Source organism: Homo sapiens, chromosome 4, assembly GCF_000001405.40.
Source record: "Homo sapiens chromosome 4, GRCh38.p14 Primary Assembly".
NCBI classification, from domain to species: domain Eukaryota; kingdom Metazoa; phylum Chordata; class Mammalia; order Primates; family Hominidae; genus Homo; species Homo sapiens.
The window spans coordinates 97,951,082-97,973,492 of NC_000004.12; the positions used below are offsets into that span (position 1 = coordinate 97,951,082).

At 38.6% G+C, this 22,411-nt stretch overlaps 1 protein-coding gene across 7 annotated transcripts in view; it reads right to left on the bottom strand.

Annotated features, from left to right (window-relative positions):
- Positions 1-22,411, bottom strand: part of STPG2 (sperm tail PG-rich repeat containing 2) — a 702,228-nt gene that overhangs the window by 509,833 nt on the left and 169,984 nt on the right. For all 7 annotated transcript variants that reach the window (XM_047450118.1, XM_017008049.3, XM_011531886.4 and 4 more), the window contains one exon: positions 21,199-21,359. In XM_047450118.1, the coding sequence (XP_047306074.1) occupies positions 21,199-21,359 (161 nt within the window). The remainder of the gene's footprint in view (positions 1-21,198; positions 21,360-22,411) is intronic.

Genomic DNA, 22,411 nt, shown 5'->3' on the forward strand with positions numbered 1-22,411 from the left:
AGGGACTGACTCAGCACAAGAAGACAGCTTTGACTCCCTATGATTTCATCTCTGACCCAACCAATCAACACTCCTGACTCACTGTCCCCTACCCACCAAATTGTCCTTAAAATCCCCAATTTCCAAGTTTTGGGGGAGACTCATTTGAGTAATAATAAAACTCTGGTCTCTCATACAGACAGCTCTGCATTAATAACATTTTCTCTATTGCAGTTCCCCTGTCTTGATAAATTGGCTCTCTCCAGGCAGCAGGCAAGGAGAACCCATTGGGTGGTTACACTAGTGTGACCTTTGGGTGTATTGCAGAACCTTGTTTTGTCATATTATCAGAATTATTTTTCTGGTTCCTTCTCATTTGGGTATACTATTTCTTCTAATTATTCTTGAAATTATGTTTTATTTGACTGTGTTTTTTTTTATTTCTTTTTCCCCCCTTAAGACTGTGACTTTAAAGCTTATAGTTTAATGTAGCCTAATTCAGTAATTGGTGCATTCAGGAGTGAAGACCCTGTGTGAGAGCTTTAGTTATAGAGACTCTTTGCATGATAACCTTCTCAGATGCTTCTCGGTAGCAACATGCTCAGTGTGTGAGCAAGTTCACTATATCCTACGGAGTTGGAATAGCAGAGGTCTCTTGAAGCCTACTTCATTCCCCCATGATGTGTGCTTTTAATTAATTTATTTATTCACCAGTATTTTATTTACTGGGTTGAACAACTCAGGCTTCAGGCTAGTAGGATAGGCGTCCCAGGGAAGAAACTGGTTGTGATTAAAGCAGGTGGGTAAATGCAATATGTAATGGTAGGCAGAGGTCCCAGCCTTGACAGAGCTGGCTGGAGGTTGGGAGAAGCTCTCAGAGAAGTACACTGAGGTCTTATCAGGGGAAAGGGTGGGAGCTACCTCCGCCCCTGTGTCAGGGCAGCAGAAAAGCAATCCACATTCCAGACACACTCATGACCCATTGTTCCAGTATTCCTGCTATTCCATCAGACAGGCACCTATTTTCATCTTCAGGAATGTTGATGTTCCAAGTATAGAGGAGTTCTGACTCTACCTCTCAACCACACCTGAACCTGAAAGGTGCATCCTCCAGGATGCAGTCACCCTGAAATGTTTGAAAAAGGTTGTCTAGGTGCACCCATGCTGAACACCTGTAAGAGAAGACCCAGTTGTGTCTTGCAGTGGTGGATGGGAGGAAAAAGAATTCCCCTTCTCCAAGACCCTTCATGAGCACCAGAGCTGCCTGACTGTTGGGGTACAGCTGCAGACTTTCCCTGCTGAACCCAGTACTGCAACTGTGCCTCTGAAGAAAGAAACTTCCCAACAGCAAAAAGATCTGGGACTCAAGGCCTGCCAGCTGGATTCTTTTGTCCCATGGAGCGTCCCCTTAATGTGGCATACTTTCCTTTCGCCTAGGACCAGGAGTCCCTGAGAGCCAGGCCACTATGAATGCTGCTGTTCCTCTGGGTCTAGTAACCCAGTGGAGTTGCCACACTCCAGGTTGGTGCTGGGAAAGTCTGCAAGGGATCCACTGATGTAACAGTTCCTCAAGTCTCCCAGCATCAGGTACCAGCACCATCTCTGATGGGGATGGCAGGGGAGGGTCATAGACTCTATGAGATTCCTTCGTTATAAATAGCCTTAGTGTGTTGGTTTTCTCAAATGCTGGTGGTGGTAGTAATGAACTGGTCACATGGACAGACTCAGGACCTCTGGTTAGCCAGGTTGGTAGCCAGAATGATACAGACAATAGTGATAGCAGAGGTCATGCACAAGTTTTCTCCTTTCTGGGCACATTGTTGTTCTACTTGGAGATACTGTAATGCATTGTGTCAGTCAGCCTCCAGCCAGGAGGTGGTGCTTGCAAAAGAGTCTCAGTTGTGGTAGTAGTGGTGGGATTTGTACTTGCCTTATGTTACCCAGGGGAGATACTGTGGTTTCTCAGGTGACGGGCAGAGCTATAGAGCTCCCAAACATTTCTGTCCTTTGTGTTAAGCTATTAGGGCAAACGGAGGAGCAAAGCCAGGTGGGGGCTCCATCAGGTAGCTCCACGCTCTGACTCTACCCATGCAGGGCAGCAGTGGCCCCAGTGAGCATCAGAGGAATTCGTTGGCCACTAGAGTAATGTTCTATGGAGGAGCATATCTGCCTCTGATGTACAAATGAGTTTGTACAGGGAGTCAGGAGTAGCAGGTGGCAGTAAACCCCGTCCAGCTCCCATGCACTTGGCAAAGCAAAACTCACACCTGCTAGCAACAGCTGTCTAAGTTCTAGGCACTTAATGCTCAGAACTCAAAATGCCCCAGGCCATAAGCCTTCCCCACAGAGACTGCAACCACAGCTTTCAGGCCATGCTTCTCCCAGTCTGCCTGTAAAGCTAGGGTGTGCAGCTCCTGCACTTGTGGCTGCAGCACACTTCCCACCTTCTCCCTGCCTGAGTTAACTAGAAGATTTTTGTGAGATCCCCCCATGACACAGAATCAGGAATGGCTTCCCTTGGTTCACACTGGAGACCAAAAATGCCTGCAAGGCTCTTCCCACACTGCTCCTACTTTCATATTCCCCATTGCTCCTTAAATCAGTTCTAGCACTGGGTAGAGTTAAGGTGTTCCCCCATGGGCAGATTGCCAGGTTCCCCAGTTGGGGTGTGTATCCTGGAGGCATTCTCTCTGCCTTTCACACTCTGAGGAAGAAGTTTTTCACATGGCTCACAGTGTGGGCTGCCAGCCTGCCACTTCTTTCAAAGGGTCTGTGATTTATTTCAGTTTTCCTGTTAAGTTCCTGCATTGCTTCTCAGAAAAAAAGTTCACAGTGAGAATTGCTATACACTATTTTGTCTTTCCAAATAGAATAGGCATTGTAACACTTGCCTCCAATCTGCCATCTTGGAAAAAAGAAACTACAATAATTTTATTACTGTCATATATATGGTACTAGAAATTATTACGTTAAAAATTTCCAAAACATTTTGCAGTTTTTAGTACTTAGGAGGTAAAAGTTACCAACTTTGAATGAAATTACCAAGAAATTAATTACTTATTGGATGGCTTTGGCTCTAGAGGAAATGAGTAGTTTACAAAAGACCACATTTCTACATGAATAATTAAAAAGAAATTCAGGCAAAATGTAACAAGATCCTATTTTTAAAGACCTCATTGAGTTGTAGAAGTACCATAGACCAGAAGCCTACGATTCTGATGAGGGTAGACCTCTGAGAGGTGAGCTACTGGTGTGCAGGTGCACTCTCCCTCAGGGCATTTTCTGATAAAGGCAACAGAGTAAAAATTTGAGATTAGCCTGGCAGAGAAATGCTGCTAAGCAACTGTGTCTTCTTGGGCCAGAATGACAAAATTGCACATTTGAGGAGCCTCAAAGCACATGGCCTATTTCTTGATCAAGGTATTTGTAAGGAGTAAAGGCAGTGTGAAGCTAAAAATCTAAGCCAAAAAACTGAAATACAGAGGCATCAAAGAGTAAAGTTAAGAACCTGATAGAAGGACCCTCAAAAACATCAGGCTCATGTTTGATATCCCCATAGTACTACACTTAAGAAAATGAAACAACCAAGAGGTAAATTAAGTAATGGCAAAAATGTAATCAGCACAGTTCATAATTGGGTTAATGTAATTTTATCTTCACCTGTATCTACCTTGCAGAGGAAAGTGTGAAATTTCACTAGTAGAAAATAACATCATTTAGAATCTTTACAATGTTTTATATGCAGTATCTGGCAAGCTATTAAAAATTATAGGGCATGCCAAAAAACAGAAGGCATGGTCAAAAATCAAGAGAAAAAAAACATAAAATAACAGACTAATGGATGATCCAGATATTAGAGTTAGCAGACAAGAACTTTTTTAAAACTATGATTAATGTGTTCAATAAAACAGATGAAAAAATAGAAAAGAAATAGTTGAAATCGTAAATAATTTGTCCTGAGAAATGAATTATTTAAGAAAGAATTAAACAGGCATTCTAGAAATAAAAAAATACAATATCTGAAATTAAGAACTCAATAGATTGATTTAATGGTAGTTGAAATAGATGAAAAAAAGTAGTGAATTAAATTATAACTCAGTAGGAAATATCTAAACTGTAGCATGAAAGCAAAAAAAGTTGTAATACAGAAGAATTTTTTTTTTTTTTTTTTTGAGACAGCATCTCACTCTGTCGCCCAGGCTGGAGTGCAGTGGCACGATCTCGGCTCACGGCTTGCTCCACCTTATGGGTTCACGCCATTCTCCTGCCTCAGCCTCCTGAGCAGCTGAAACTACAGGTGTCTGCCACCATGCCTGGCTAATTTTTTTGTATTTTTAGTAGAGACGGGGTTTCACTGTGTTAGCCAAAATGGTCTCGATCTCCTGACCTCGTGATCCACCCATCTCGGCCTCCCAAAGGGCTGGGATTACAGGTGTGAGCCACCGCACCCGGCCTAATACAGAAGAATTCTAAGAGTGTTCGAGGCATGGTGAATAGTTCTAACACATATATTTATGAGAGTCTCAGAAAGACAGCAAGAAAAAATATGACAAAATACATAAAAGATAATAGCCAAGAATTATTTAAAACCGATAAAGGACATAAACCCACAGATTCAAAGGTTCTGCAAACCTCAGGCTAATGTATTAAAAAGAAAACAACACTTCAGACACATCAAAGGTTAAAAACCAAAGACAATATCTCTGGAAGGAGAAACAATAAGCTGGACAGCTTACTTCTCAATGGAAAAGATGGAAAGTCTAAAAAAACAAAATATTATTAAAGTGCTGAAAATAATCACCAGCCTAAAAATCTATACTCAAAAATAAATCATTCAAAAATAACAAAATACATTTCAGACAAACAAAAACTGTAATAATTCAGCAGCAGACCTGGACCAGAAGAAATGCTAAAGGAAGTTTTTCAGACAGAAGAAAAACGATTCCATTTTTCATAAAAATGCAAATGCAAAAAGGAATGAAGCACAATAGAGAAATAAATAAAAAAAGTAATCCACACAACAAAATAATAATATTCAAAAAACTTAAAATATGTAGATTTAAAATGTTTGACAATAATTAAACAAAATACAAGATAACAAAATGGAGTTAAAATGTTCTGAGTCAGTCTTATTGAGAAAGTGGTAAAGGTCATCCTTCTTATTGGATTGCAATACATGAATGCTTATTGTAATTTTCATGGCAAAAACTAAAAGAATAGTAAAAAAACTAAAAATGTAATATTGATGAAATGAAATAAAATAAAATATTTGATTAATATTTTATTTGATTATAATATTTGATTAATCCACACAGAAAGAGATAAGAAAAAGTGGATAATGGGAATCATGGCAGACAGGAGGCAGAACTAGATGGCATCCCACTTGGAAGGACAGAGCAGTGTGTGGAGTCTCAGACCATGAACTTTTGCTCCAGACCTACCACAGAAATAAATCAAGAAAGCTGAGAGAACACACAGACCCACTGAAAAAAGCAGATTGCTCCTGCAGGAGCCAGGAGACACCCCAAATATTGTGCTGGTATCCATGGCTGAGAGATCCACATATGGTTCACATCACAGAACTCTGCGCAGACAACCCCCAGTAGCAGCCCAGAGCCTAATAGACCTGATGGGTGGCTGGATCCAGAAGAGACATAACAATTACTACAGCTTGGCTCACAGAAAGCCACACCCCTAGGAAAAGGGGGAGAATAATACAGCAAGGGGACACCCCATGGGACAAATTAATCTTGTTTCCCTTGAAAACAGCCTTGAGTCCTACACCTTTCCTCTGACAGAGCCTACCCAAATGAGAAGGAACCAAAATCCCAACTCTGGTAATAAGACAAAATAAGGTTCATTAACATCCTCAAAAAATCACATTAGCTCACCAGCAATGGATCCAAACCAAGAAGAAATCCCTGATTTGCCTGAAAAAGAATTCAGAGGAAAGTTATTAAGCTAATCAAAAAGGCGTCAGAGAAAGTCAGAGCCCAATTTAAGGAAATAAATATATATATATGTGAAATATACATAGGTGAAATATACATGTGAAATATACATGTGAAATATATATGAAATATACATGTGAAATATATATGAAATATATATGTGAAATATATATATGAAATGAAGGAAGAAATATTCAATGAAATAAACAGTATAAATAAAAAACAATCAAAACTTCAGTAAACAATGGACACACTAATAGAAATGCAAAATGCTCTGGAAAGTCTCAGCAATAGAATGTAACAAGCAGAAGAAGGAACTTGAAGCTTGAAGACAATGTTTTTTAATTCACCCAATCAAACAAAGACAAAGAAAAAAAATAAGAAAATATGAACAAAGCTTCCAAGAAGTCTAGGATTATGTTAAACGACCAAACCTAAGAATAATTGAGAAAGAAGGGAAATCTAGAAGTTTGGAAAACATACTTGGGGAAGTAAGTGAGGAAAACGTTCCCAGCCTTGCTAAAGACCTAGACATCCAAATACAAGAAGCTGAAAAAACACCTGGGAAATTCATCACAAAAGATCACTGCCTAGGGAAAATGTTATCAGGTTATCTAAAGTTAAGAGGAAAAAAACAATCTTAAGAGCTGTGAGGCAGAAGCACCAGGTAACCTATAAAGGAAAACCTATCAGATTAAAAGCAGATTTCTCAGCAGAAACCCTACAAGCTAGAAGAGATTGGGGCCTTATCTTCAGCCTCCTTAAACAAAACAACTATAAGCCAAAACTTTTGTATCCAGTGAAACTGAGCTTCAGGAATGAAGGAAACATACAACCTTTTCAGACAAACAAATGCTGAGAGAATTTGCCACTACCAGGCCAGTACTACAAGAACTGCTAAAAGGAGCCCTAAATTTTAAAACAAATCCCAGAAGCACATCAAAACAGAACCTCTTTAGACCATAAATCTCACAGGACCTACAAAACAAAAATACAACTAAAAACAAAAAACAATGGCCCAGTGCAGTAGCTCACACTGGTAATCCCAGTACTTTGGGAGGCAGAGGGGGGACAGATCACTTGAGGTCAGGAGTTTGAGCCTAGCCTGGCCAACATGGTAAAACCCTGTCTCTACTAAAAATACAAAAATTAGCCAGGTGTGATGGTGAGTGCCTCTAATCCCAGCTACTTGAAAGGCTGAGGCACAAGAATTGCTTGAACCTGGGAGGTGGACATTGCAGTGAGCCAAGATTGAGCCACTGCACTCCAGCCTGAGTGAGAGAGTGAGGATGTGTCTCAAAAAAAAAGAAAAGTAAAGAAAAAAACCAAGGTATACAGGCAACAAATAGCATGATAAATGGAATAGTACCTCATATCTCAATACTAACATTGAATGTACATTGCCTAAATGCTCCATTTAAAAAATACAGAATTGCAGAAGGAATAAGAATTTACCAACTAGCAGTCTCTGCTCCATTCAGGAGACTCACCTGACACATAAGAACTCATATAAACTTAAGGTAAAGGGGTGGAAAAAGACACTCCATGCAAATGAACACCAAAAGCCAGGAGAAGTAGCTCTTCTTATATCAGACAAAACAAACTTTAAAGCAACAGCAGTTTAAAAAGACAAAGAAGGCCTTGTCCAACAGGAAAATATCACAATCCTAAATATATATGCATCTAATACTGGAGCTCCCAAATTTATAAAACAATTACTACTAGACGTAAGAAATGAGATAGACAGCAACACAATAACAGTGGGGGACTTCAGTACTTCACGCACAGCACTAGACAGGTCATCAAGACAGAAAGTCAACAAAGAAACAATGGATTTAAACTATGCCCTATGACAAATGGACTTAACAGATCTTTACAGAACATTTTACCCAACAATTGCAGACTATACATTCTATTCATCAGCACATGCAATGTTCTCCAAGATAGACCATATGATAGGCCATGAAACAAGCCTCAATAAATTTAAGAAAACTGAAATTATTACAAGCACTCTTTCAGACCACAGTAGAATAAAACACGAAATCAACTCTAAAAGGAACCTTCAAAATCATGCAAATAGAGGGAAATTAAATAATATGCTCCTGAATGATCACTGGGTCAACAATGAAATCAAGATGGAAATTAAAAGATTACTCAAACAGAACAATAGTAACACAATCTAACAATACCTTTGGGATACAGCAAAGGTAGTGCTAAGAGGAAAGTTCATAGCCCTAAATGCCTACACCAAAAAGTCTAAAAGAGCACAAACAGACAATCTAAGGTCACACCTCAAAGAACTAGAGAAACAAGAAAAAACCAAACTTAACCCCAGTAAAAGAAAGGAAATAACCAAGATCAGAGTAGAATAAATGAAATTGAAACTATACAAAAGATAAATGAAACAAAAAGAAAAAAGATAAATAAAATTGATAGGCCATTAGCAAGATTAACCAAGAAAAGAAGAGAGAAAATCCAAATAAGCTCAATTAGAAACAAAATGGGACATATTACAACTGACACCACAGAAATACAAAAGATCATTCAAGGCTACTATGAACATCTTTATACATAAAAACTAGAAAACCTAGAGGAGATGGATAAATTCCTGGAAAGATACAACCAACCTAGCTTAAATCAGGAAGAAGCAGATACCCTGAACAAACCAATAGTGATATTGAAATGGTAATAAAAACTTACCAAGAAAAAAAAAAGTCCAGGACCAGAAGGATTCAAAGCTGAATTCTACCAGACATTCAAAGAAGAATTGGTACCAATCCTTTTGACACTATTCAAAACGATAGAGAAAGAGGGAAACCTCTCTAAATCATTCTATAAAGCCAGTATCACCCTAATACCAAAACATGGAAAGGACATAACAAAAAAAGAAAACTACAAATGGATATCCCTGATGAACATAGATGTAAAAATCCTTAACAAAATACTAGCTCACTGAATCCAAAGACACATCAAAAAGATAATCTACCATGATCAAGTAGGTTTCACACCAGGGATGCAGGGAAGGTTTAATATATGCAAGTCAATAATTGTGATACATCACATAAACAGAATTAAAAAGAAAATTCACATGATCATCTCAATAGATGCAGAAAAAGCATTTGACAAAATCCAGCATCACTTTATGATTAAAATTCTCATCAAAATCAGCATAGAAGGGACAAATCTCAATGTAATAAAAGCCATCTATGACAAACCACAACCAACATAATACTGAATGGGGAAAAGTTGAAAGCATTCCCCCTCTGAGAACTGGAACAAGACAAAGATGCCTACTCTCACCACTTCTATTCAACATAGTACTGGAAGTACTAGCCAGAGCAATCAGACAACAGAAAGAAATAAAGGGCATGCAAATTGGTAAAGAGAAAATAAAACTGTCACTGTTTGCTGATGATATGATTGTATACCTAGAAAACCCTAAAGACTCCTCCAAAAAGCTCCTAGAACTGGTAAAAGAATTCAGCAAAGTTTCCAGATACAAAATTAATGTACACAAATCAGTAGCTCTTCTATATACCAACAGTGACAAGCTAAGAATCAAATCAAGAACTCAAACTTTTTACAATAGCTTCAAGAAAAATAAAATACTTAGGAATATACCTAACCAAGGAGGTGAAAGACCTCTACAAGGAAAACTACAAAACACTGCTGAAAGAAATCATAGACCACAAAAAACAAATAGAAACACATCCCATACTCATGGATGGGTAGAATCAATATTGTGAAAATGACCATATTGCCAAAAGCAATCTATAAATTCAATGCAATTCCCATCAAAATACCATCATCACCCTCACAGAACTAGAAAAAATATCCTAAAATTGATATAGAATCAAAGAAAAGCCCACATAGCCAAGGCAAGACCAAGCAAAAAGAACAAATGTGGAGGCATCACATTACCTGAATTCAAACTACACTACAAGGCCATAGTCACTAAAACAGCATGGTACTGGTATAAACATAGGTGCATAGATCAATGGAACAGAATAGAGAACTCGGAAATAAACCTAAATACTTACAGTCAACTGGTCTTCAACAAAGCAAACAAAAACATAAAATGGAAAAAAAAAAACACCCTATTCAACAAACGTGCTGGGAAAATTGGCGAGCCAAATGTAGGAGAATGAAACTGAATCCTCATTTCTCACCTTATACAGAAATCAACTCAAGATGGGTCAAGAACTTAAATCTAAGATCTGAAACTATAAAAATTCTAGAAGATAACACCAGCAAAAACCTTCTAGACATTGGCTTAGGCAAAGATTTCATGACCAAGGAGAACCCAAAAACAAATGCAAATGCAATAAAAGCAAAGATAAATAGCTGGGACTTAATTAAACTGAAGAGCTTTTGTATGGCAAAAGGAACAGTCAGCAGAGTAAACAGACAACCCATAGAGTGGGAGAAAATCATCATAATCTATACATCTGACAAAGGACTAATATCCAGAATCTACAACAAACTCAACCAAATTAGCAAGAAAACAAACAATCCCATCCAAAAGTGGGCTGAGGACATGAATAGACAATTCTCAAATGAAGATATACAAATAGCCAACAAACATATGAAAATGATGCTCAGCATCATTAATGATCAGGTAAATGCAAATCAAAACTACAATGTGATACCACCTTACTCCTGCAAGAATGGCCATAATCAAAAAATCAAAAAATAATAGATGTTAGTGTGGATGCAGTGAACAGGGAACACTTTTATACTGATGGTCAGAACGTAAACTAGTACAACCACTATGGAAAACATTATCGAGATTTCATTAAAAACTTAAAGTAGAACTACCATTTGATCCAGCAATCCCACTACTGGTTATCTACCCATAGGAAAAGTAGTCATTATATGAAAAAGATACTTGCACACGCACGTTTATAGCAGCATAATTCGCAATTGTAAAAATGTGGAACCAACCCAAATGCCCATCAATCAATGAGTGGATAAAGAAACTGTGGTACATGTCTACAATGAAATACTACTCAGCAATAAAAAGGAATGAATTAATGGCATTCACAGAAACCTGGTTGAGACTGGAGACTATTATTCTTAGCGAAGTAACTCAGGAATGGAAAACCAAACATCTTATGTTCTCATTCATATGTGAGACCTAAGCTACGAGGAAGCAAAGGCATAAGAATGACACAATGAACTTTGAAGACTCAGGGGGAATGGGTGGAAGGGAAAGAGGAATAAAGGACTACAAATTGGGTGCAGTGTATATTGCTGGGATGATGGATGCACCAAATCTCACAAATCACCACTAAAGAATTTATTCATGTGACCAAACACTACCTAGTCCCCAATAGCCTGTGGAAATTTAAAAAAAAATTAAGTGGCAAAACAAATGGACCAATACAATACATAAAATAGTGTAATACGTATACACACAAACATGTTGATAATCAAATTAAACATAAATCAATTGATACTGCAATTAAACACAAGGTTTACCAGACTGAATTTTTAAAAATCAGACATGTTTAGGGTTTATATTTCACTCTTGATTTTAGATTTTGTCAAATATTCTATAAACTGAGTCTTAGTTACACCTGTAGATAGTTTTAAATTGTCAACAAGAATAGCAAATTTACTGAGTCCTTACTGTGTTCCAGAAGATATTCAAAGTGTTTTTTGATTCACTTAGTATTGCAACAACACTTTTAGGTATGTACTATTATGATCTTCATTTTACTAAGTACAAAGAGTTTAAATAACTTGCACGAGATCAGTGGCAGAGCAAAAAAGTATATTCAAACACTCTGAGTCCAGAGATCATGCTAATAATCACTGTGCTAGGCTTCTCAATATCTACAGTGAAGAATAAATACTATAATTCTGGCTGGGTGTGGTGGCTCACGCCTATAATCCCAGCACTTTGGGAAGCTGAGGCAGGTGGATCATGAGGTCAGGAGTTCGAGATCAGCCTGACCAACATGGTGAAACCCCATCTCTACTAAAAATACAAAAATTAGCCAGGCATGGTGGCACACACCTGTAATCCCAGCTACTCAGGAGGCTGAGGAAGGAGAAATGCTTGAACCCGGGAGGCAGAGATTGCAGTGAGCAGACATCGCACCATTGTACTCCAGCCTGGGCAACAGAGCAACACTCCATCTCAAAAACAAACAAACAAACAAACAAACAAAAAAACAATAATTATTTTTATCTAAATGTCAGGTTACTAAGAATAATGAACTGTTAGTACATTTTAAACAAAATATAGCAGAAATGTTCCAAAAACTATTAACATTCATGATGGATTTAAAATATACTTATATCAGCACTTAAAATAGTTAATAAATTTAATATTATGTTTTTTACCACAAAAATATATACTGGGCGTGGTGGCTCACCCCTGTAACCCCACTGCTTTGGGAGGCAGAGGCAGGGGGACTCGTGCCAGGAGTTCAAGATCATCCTGGGCAGCAAAGTGAGACCTTGTCTCTATGAAAAATTTTTTTAAAATAGCCAGGTGTAACGGCCCATGCCTGTGGTCCCAGCTACACAGAAGACTGAAGCAGGAGGATCACTTGAACCCAGGAGGGCAAGGGTGCAGTGAGCCATACCTGCACCATTGCACTCCAGCCTGGGCAAGAGTGAGACCCTATTTGAAATACATATATATATAAATACATATATATGTATTTGAAATATATATACACACATATATATGTATTTGAAATATACATACACACATATATATTTATTTATACTTATATCGGACTAAATGAACAATAGAAATTAAAGACAAATATCAAAGGTTGATGACAGATAGAAACTCAAACTGAAAGTCTAGAAATCTAGCAATCTAAAAAAATTAATTTAGAGTACATGTAGGTATGTTAAACTTGTTCTTATATTTAATGTTCTTAAATTTAATGAAAAATAAATTAAATTGGCAGAAACTAGAGAGCTATTTTGAGGAGGCTATCAGATGCACCACTGGGACCTGTGGGAGCAAAATATAATAAAAGAAAAATGTCTGTAAGTTAATGATATGTGAATAGGAAGGACTATGATGGGTCTGAAATTTTGCCCTACTTCAAGTTACAAAGGTGACCTGCCACAGTTTCACAGAAAAATGCAAAACTCCTGAGTCAGAGACAAAGGACTTTATTCCTCATGGCATAACAAACAGCATGAGAACAGCACACTTGCATCAGTCCTCCTTGCCCTAAAGTCTTACTGGGGACAAGGCAGATGGGGCAAAATAAACACTAGCACACAAAATGGGAGAAAAACTGTGAGTTCTGGGAACGTGGATCTTTTATAATGAGCAGTAAGCACACCCTTTGCTGAGGAGGGAGACATTGTATCTTTGAAGGCAATCATCCTTAAAAAGGATGTACAATCATCCTTAAAAAGGAGGTGCAAGCAAAGGTGTGTAGAAACACAAAACACACAGAGAATTGTCTCTTAATGATAAAAAAAGAATAAAAATAGATGTTTGCACAGAATATAGACTTATTTGAGCACACTTACATAGAAAACCCTCAGAAAAATAAGTTTTAATGAACATTAAAAACCTGAAAAAACTAATATCTAAATTATAAGAATCCCACAAATATAATAAAATAAATAACAATTCATGTATCAGCAATTAAGGGCAACAGATTTCAAAGTAGTTATATAACAATTCTTACCTTTAAATTGTTACACATATTTTTTCTGGTTTGCTTTTCATTGTTCCTTCTGTTGTTGTCTTAAAATCACACTATACATCTTAAAACTGTACTACACAAAATTCAGTTATTACTTGTACTGAATTGAAATATGAATCTCTGCAGTTTTCACCTATTGGTCTTGACAGAATCCCATATGTAGTGCCATTCCAAGATGGCCGAATAGGAACAGCTCTGGTCTGCAGCTCCCAGTGTGATTGAGGCAGAAGGCAGGTGACTTCTGCATTTCCAACTGAGGCACCTGGTTCATCTCACTGGGACTTGTTGGACAGTGGGTGCAGCCCACAGAGGGCAAGCCGAAGTAGGACAGGGCATCACCTCACCCAGGAAGCGCAAGAGGTTGAGGGATTTCCCTTTCCTAGCCAAGGGAAGCCGTGACAGACTGTACCTGGAAAATTGTTTCACTCCAGCCCAAATACTGTGCTTTTCCCATAGTCTTAGCAACCGACAGACCAGGAGATTATCTCCTGTGCCTGGCTCGATGGGTCCCATGCCCACAGAGCCTTGCTCACTGCTAGTGCAGAAATCTGAGATCTACCTGCCAGGCTGCAGCCAGCCAGGGGGAGGGGTGTCTGCCATTGCTGAGGCTTGAGTAGGTAAACAAAGCAGCTGCGAAGCTCAAACTGGGCAGAGACCACTGCAGCTCAGCAAGGCCTACTGCCTCTATAGACTCCACTTTGGTGGGCAGGGCATAGTGAAACAAAAGGCAGCAGACAGCTTCTGCAGACTTAAATGTCCCTGTCTGACAACTCTGAAGAGAGCAGTGGTTCTCCCAGCATGGCATTTGAACTCTGAGAACAGACAGACTGCCTCCACAAATGGGGCCCTGACCCCCACGTAGACGAACTAGGAGACACTTCCCAGAACGGGCTAACAGACAGCTCATACAGGCTGGTGCCCCTCTGGGACGAAGCTTCCAGAAAAAGGATAAGGCAGCAATATTTGTTATTCTGCAACATTTGCTGTTCTGCAGTCTCCGCTGGTGATAACCTGGCAAACGGGGTCTGGAGTAGACCTCCAGCAAACTCCAACAGACCTGCAGCTGAGGGACCTGATTGTTAAAAGGAAAACTAACAAACAAAAAGGAATAGCATCAACATCAACAAAGAGGACATCTATGCCAAAACCCTATCTGTAGGTCACCAACATCAAAGACCAAAGGTAGATAAAACCACAAAGATGGGGAGAAACCAAAGCAGAAAAGCTGAAAATTCTAAAAACCAGAGTGCCTCTTCTCCTCTAAAGGATTGCAGATCCTCAACAGCAACAAAACAAAGCTGGGTGGAGAATGACTTTCACCAGTTGACAGAAGTAGGCTTCAGAAGATCAGTAAAAAGAATCAGTAATGAGCTTCTCCGAGCTAAAGGAGCATGTTTGAGCCCATCACAAGCAAGCTAGCTAAAAACCTTGAAAAAAGGTTAGACGAATGGCTAACTAGAATAAACAGTGTAGAGAAGACCTTACGTGACCTGACAGAGCTGAAAACCATGGCACAAGAACTTCATGATGCATGCACAAGCTTCAATAGCTGATTCAATCAAAAGGGTATCAGTGGTTGAAGAACAAATTAATGAAATAAAGTGAGAAGACAAGTTTAGAGAAAAAAGAGTAAAAGGAACCAACAAAACCTCTAAGAAATATGGGACTATGTGAAAAGAATAAATCTACCTTTGATTGTTGTACCAGAAAGTGATGAGGAGAATGGAACCAAGCTGGAAAACACTCTTCACAATATTATCCAGGAGAACTTCCTGAACTTAGCAAGGCAGGCCAACATTCAAATTCAGGAAATACAGAGAACACAACAAATATACTTCTTGAGAATAGCAACCCCAAGACACATAATTGTCAGATTCACCAAGGCTGAAATGAAGAAAAAATGTTAAGGGCAGCCAGAGAGAAAGGTCGGGTTACCCACAAAGAGAAGCCCATCAGACTAACAGCGGATCTCTCAGCAGAAACCCTACAAGCCAGAAGAGACTGGGGGACAATATTCAATATTCTGAAAAAGGATTTTCAACCCACAATTTCATATCCAGCCAAACTAAGCTTCATAAGTAAAAAAGAAATAAAATCCTTAACAGAAACGCAAAGGCTGAGAGATTACAAGAGCCTTATAAGAGCTCCTGAAGGAAGCACTAACCATGGAAACAAATAACCAGTACCAGACACTGCAATAACATGCCAAATTGTAAAGACCATCAATGCTAGGAAGAAACAGCATCAACTAATGGGCAAAATAACCAGCTAACATCATAATGACAGGATCAAATTCACACATAACCATAGTAACCTTAAATGTAAATGGGCTGAATGCCCCAATTAAAAGACACAGATGGGCAAATTGGATAAAGGGTCAAGACTACCAGTGTACTGTATTCAGGAGATCCATCTCACATGCAGAGACACACACAGGCTCAAAATAAAGGGATGGAGGAAGATTTACCAAGCAAATGGTAAGCAAAAAAAAAAAAAAAAAAGCAGTGATGGCAATCCTAGTCTCTGATAAAACAGACTTTAAACGAACAAAGTTCAAAAGAGACAAGGCCATTACATAATGGTAAAGGGATCAATTCAACAAAAAGAGCTAACTACCCTAAATATATATGCACCCAATACAGGAGCACCCAGATTCATAAAGCAAGTCCTTAGAGACCTACATTAGACTCCTACACAATAATAATGGGAGACTTGAACACCCCACTGTCAATAGTAGACATATCAATGAGACAGAAGGTTAACAAGGATATCCAGGACTTGAACTCAGCTCTGCACCAAGCAGACCTAATAGACATCTACAGAACTCTCCACCCCAAATCAACAGAATATACATTCTTCTCAGCACCACACTGCACCTATTCCAAAATTGACCACATAGTTGGAAGTAAAACACTCCTCAGCAAATGCAAAAGAACAGAAATCACAAAAAAACTGTCTCTCAGATCACAGTGCAATCAAATTAGAACTCAGGATTAAGAAACTCACTCAAAACCGCACAATTACATGGAAACTGAACAACCTGCTCCTGAATGACTACTGGGTACATAACAAAATGAAGGCAGAAATAAAGATGTTCTTTGAAACCAATGATAACAAAGACACAACATACCAGAATCTCTGGGACACATTTAAAGCAGGGTGTAGAGGGAAATTTATACTACTAAATGCCCACAAGAGAAAGCAGAAAAGATCTAAAATCAACACCCTAACATCACAATCAGAAGAACTAGAGAAGCAAGAGCAAACACATTCAAAAGCTAGCAGAAGGCAAGAAATAACTAAGATCAGAGCAGAACTGAAGGAGAGAGAGAAACAAAAAAACCTTCAAAAAATCAATGAATCCAGGAGCTGGTTTTTTGAAAAGATCAACAAAATTGAGACACCATTAGCAAGATTAATAAAGAAGAAAAGAGAGAAGACTCAAATAGATGCAATAAAAAATGATAAAAGGGATATCACCACCAACCCCACAGAAATACAAACTACCATCAGAGAATACTATAAACACCTCTACACGAATTTTGAATCACTGAATCGACCAATAACAGGTTCTGAAATTGAGGCAATAATTAATGGCCTACCAACCAAAAAATTTCCAGGACAAGATGGATTCACAGCCGAATTCTACCAGAGGTAAAAAGAGGAGATGGTACCATTCCTTCTGAAACTTCCAATCAATAGAAAAAGAGGGAATCCTTCCTAACTCATTTTATGAGGCCAGCATCATCCTGATACCAAAGCCTGGCAGAGACACAACAAAAAAAGAGAATTTTAGACCAATATCCCTGATGAACATCAATGTAAAAATCCTCAGTAAAATACTGGCAAACCAAATCCAGCAGCATATCAAAAAGCTTATCCACCAAGATCAAGTTGGCTTCATCCCTGAGATGCAAGGCTGGTTCAACATATGCAAATCAGTAAACATAATCCATCACATAAACAGAACCAATGACAAAAACCACATGATTATCTCATCAGATGAAGAAAAGGCCTTTGACAAAATTCAACAGCCTTCATGTGTAGGGAGACCCCCTGAAACTATTGCTATGGAATAAAAGATGAAATGCAACTGATTATTGTAAATACAAAATTGCATGCAGGATTGTGTAAAGACAATGCCAGGCTGGGCTGCCAGAATGAGCCAACAGCGCGTGATGTGCTTCCCCCTGCAGAGAGCCTATGAACGGATGTGCAGTCAGGGAGGTTTCACATCACCAAGATTCCTATCCCAAAAAAGCAAAGGTTCATAGCTCTGGGAATGGAATGCAACCCTTGTGGAGAGCCTATAAACAGACGCATGAAGGGCGCCTGTTCATATGGATAAGATAGGGCTATAAACACCCTCATCTTGCCACGGCTCTTCTAGGTCTTTTTAGGGTTAAGACATACTCCCTTCTGAGAATTTCTGGTCTAACCAGTTGTCTAGTTTCAGGTCCTGTATCTATGGATTGTTTGTAAACAGCTTTTGCTGCAACTGTTACTGCTGATTAATATCGTGCTAATCATAGGTTATGGAAAGACAGTGTTTCTGTTTTAAGGCTGTTAGGAATTGCTGATGCACACACTATGTCGTAAATTCTTATTTCTGTATGCTGTACTTCTGCACAGATGTTATGTCAAAGAATTACTTCATCCCCATGTGACCATCTCACCTCATAATCAAATGACCGTAAATCTCTCACTAACCTACCCCTGCCCTCACTAAACTTAATAACAAATGCTGGCATATCCAGTGCATTGGCAGCATCACAGGACCAAAAGGCAGTGACCCCCCTGGACCCAGCTTTCACTATTTTCTGTGTTTCTTTTATTTCTTGACCTGCCGATCCACCTGGGAACAAAGAGACAGCCCCGTTGCATTGCGGGCTGCTGGCCAGATCCCGCAATATTCATGTTAAAAACTCTCAATAAACTAGGTATTGATGGCACGTATCTCAAAATAATAAAAGCTATCTATGACAAACCCACAGCCAGTATCATACTGAATGGGAAAAAACTGGAAGCATTCCCTTTGAAAACTGGCACAAGACAGGGATGCCCTCTCTCACCACTCCTATTCAACATAGTGTTGGAAGTTCTGGCCAGGGCAATCAGGCAGGAGAAATCAATAAAGGGTATTCAATCAGGAAAGGAGGAAGTCAAATTGCCCCTGTTTGCAGATGACATGCTTGTATATTTAGAAAACTCCATCGTCTCAGCCCAAAATCTTAAGCTGATAAGCAACTTCAGCAAAGTCTCTGGATACAAAATCAATGTACAAAAATCACAAGCATTCTTATACACCAATAACAGACAAACAGAGAGCCCAATCATGAGTGAACTCCCATTCACAATTGCTTCAAAGAGAATAAAATACCTAGGAATCCAACTTACAGGGATGTGAAGAACCTCTTCAAGGAGAACTACAAACCACTGCTCAACGAAATAAAAGAGAACACAAATGAATGGAAGAATATTCCATGCTCATGGGTAGGAAGAATCAATATTGTGAAAATGGCCATACTGACCAAGGTAATTTATAGATTCAATGCCATCCCCATCAAGCTAACAATGACTTTCTTCACAGAATTGGAAAAAAACTATTTTAAAGCTCATATGGAACCAAAAAAGAGCCTGCATTGCCAAGACAATCCTAAGCAAAAAGAATAAAGCTGGAGGCATCATGCTACCTGACTTCAAACTATACTACAAGGCTACAGCAACCAAAACAGTGTGCTACTGGTACCAAAACAGAAATACAGACCAATGGAACAGAACAGAGCCCTCAGAAATAACACCACACATCTACAACCATCTGATCTTTGACAAACCTGAGAAAAACAAGAAATGGGGAAAGGATTCCCTATTTAATAAATGATGTTGGGAAAACTGGCTAGCCATATGTAGAAAGCTGAAACTGGATCCCTTCCTTACACCTTCTACAAAAATTAATTCAAGATGGATTAAAGGCTTAAATGTTAGACCTAAAACCATAAAATCCCTAGAAGAAAACCTAGGCAATACCATTCAGGACATAGGCATGGGCAAGGACTTCATGTCTAAAACACCAAAAGCAATGGCAACAAAAGTCAAAATTGACAAATGGGATCTAATTAAACTAAAGAGCTTCTGCATGGCAAAAGAAACTATCATCAGAGTGCACAGGCAACCTACAGAATGGGAGAAAATTTTTGCAATCTACCCATCTGACAAAGGGCTAATATCCAGAATCTATAAAGAACCTAAACGAATTTACAAGAAAAAAACAACCCCAGCAAAAAGTGGGCAAAGGATGTGAACAGACACTTCTCAAAAGAAGACAGTAATGCAGCCAACAGACACAAAAATTGCTCATCATCACTGGTCATCAGAGAAATGCAAATCAAAACACAATGAGATACCATCTCACACCAGTTAGAATGGTGATCATTAAAAAGTCAGAAAACAGCAGATGCTGGAGAGGACGTGGAGAAATAGGAATGCTTTTACACTGTTGGTGGGAGTGTAAATTAGTTAATCATTGTGGAAGACAGTGTGGCAATTCCTCAAGGATCTAGAACTAGAAATACCATTTGACCCAGCAATCCCATTATTGGGTATATACCCAAGGGATTATAAATCATGCTACTATAAAGACACATGCACACATATGTTTATTGCAGCACTATTCACAATAGCAAAGACTTGGAACCAATCCAAATGTCTATCAATGATAGACTAGTTTAAGAAAATGTGGCACATATACACCATGGAATACTATGCAGCCATAAAAAAGGATGAGTTCATGTCCTTTATATGGATATGAAGCTGAAAACCATCATTCTCAGCAAACTAACACAAGGAAAGACGACCACACACCGCAGGTTCTCACTCATAGATGGGAATTAAACAATGAGAACACTTGGACACAGGGCAGGGAACATCACACACTGTAGTCTGTCGTGGGGTGGCGGGCTGGGGGAGGGATAACATTAGGAGAAATACCTAATGTAACTGATGAGTTGATGGGTGCAGGAAACCAACATGGAACATGTACACCTATGTAACAAACCTGCACGTTCTGCACATGTACCCCAGAACTTAAAGTATAATGAAAAAAAATAAACAAAATAAAATAAAATCATAATTTAAAAAAATAGAATCCCGTATGTCACACAGAACTTTCTCCATATTAGAAAGCTTTCCATTTTAAAACCAATTGTCTGGTTTATTCTCCCTAAGTCTTTACTTCTCTATATTAAGCATCTTCATTTTTTTCAAATGTTCTTTGTGCTACGTGGTTTAAACTTATGTGCCTTCACCTTTCTGATCACCTTCCCATGAACAAATCCCCAGAGCATATTTTTTCAAACGCTATATTTTTCATCTCTAGAAATTCAATTTGTGTTTTTTATTTCTGCCATTTCTCTATTATGTAATATGTTCAATATTTCTCCTACTTTCCTTAACATATGGAACATGGTTATAATAACTATTTGACATCCTTTTCTATTAATTATAACATGTAATTTCAAGAGAACCCTAAGAGCTTGATATTCAACATAAAGAATATTATTTTTGTATGAATGTATTACCTGATAATCAGCAGGTCCAGGGGTAGCACAAGCTTCTTTCTGAACCGAGAAGAAAGTCCGAGGAACAGAAGAACCAAATGCACTTTTCTTCTGTTTCTTTGAGCAGATATTTCTAACACTGGCAATTATAGTATTGTTCAAGACATTATAAAATCCAGGACCTAAAATTATTAGAAGTATCATATATAAGAATAAGCATGCTTTTATATGCACCTTTTGAACTGAGTAATTTTTAATTAAGGGTTTTTTTCTAAATAAAAAACCCTCACATATTTCTGGCATAAATGTAAAATGGCATAGTCGCATTTTAAAATTTGGTCAAATTTTTATACAGTTAACATATACTTGCTGATATGGTTTTGCTGTGTCCCCACCCAAATCTCAGCTTGAATTGTAATTCCCACAATTCCATGGGAGGAACTGTCATAGGAGGAACCCAGTGGGAGGTAATTGAATCATGGGGGTGGATCTTTCCCATGCTGTTCTTTTGATAGTGAATAAGTATCACGAGATCTGATGGTTTTAAAAATAGGAGTTTCCCTGTACAACCTCTCTTCTCTTGTCTGCTGCCATGTGAGACATGCCTTTCACCTTCTGCCATGATTGTGAGGCCTTCCCAACCATGTGGAACCATAAGTCCATTAAACCTCTCTTTTGCAAATTGCCCACTCTTGGGTATGTCTTTTTTAGCAGAATGAAAACAGACTAATACAGTAAATCGGTACCAGTAAAGTTGGGCACTGCTGTAGATACCTGAAAATGTTGAAGCAACTTTGGAACTGGGTAACAGGCATGGGTTGGAACAGTTTAGAAGGCTCAGAAGAAGACAGAAAAATATGGGAAAGTTTGGAACTTCTTAGAGACTTGTTGAATGGCTTTGACCAAAATGCTGACAGTGATATGCACAATAAAGTCCAGGCTGAGGTGGCCTCAGATGGAGATGAGGAACTTGTTGGGAACTGGAGCAAAGGTGACTTTTGTTATGTTTTGGCAAAAAGACTGGTGGCATTTTGCCCCTGTCTTAGAGATTTGTGGAACTTTGAACTGGAGAGACATGATTTAGGGTATCTGGCAGAAGAAATTTCTAAGCAGCAAAGCATTCAAGATGTGACTTGGGTGCTGTTAAAGGCATTCAGTTTTATAAGGAAAGCAGAGCATAAAAGTTCGTAAAATTTGACAATGATAGAAAAACAAAAACCCATTTTCTGAGGAG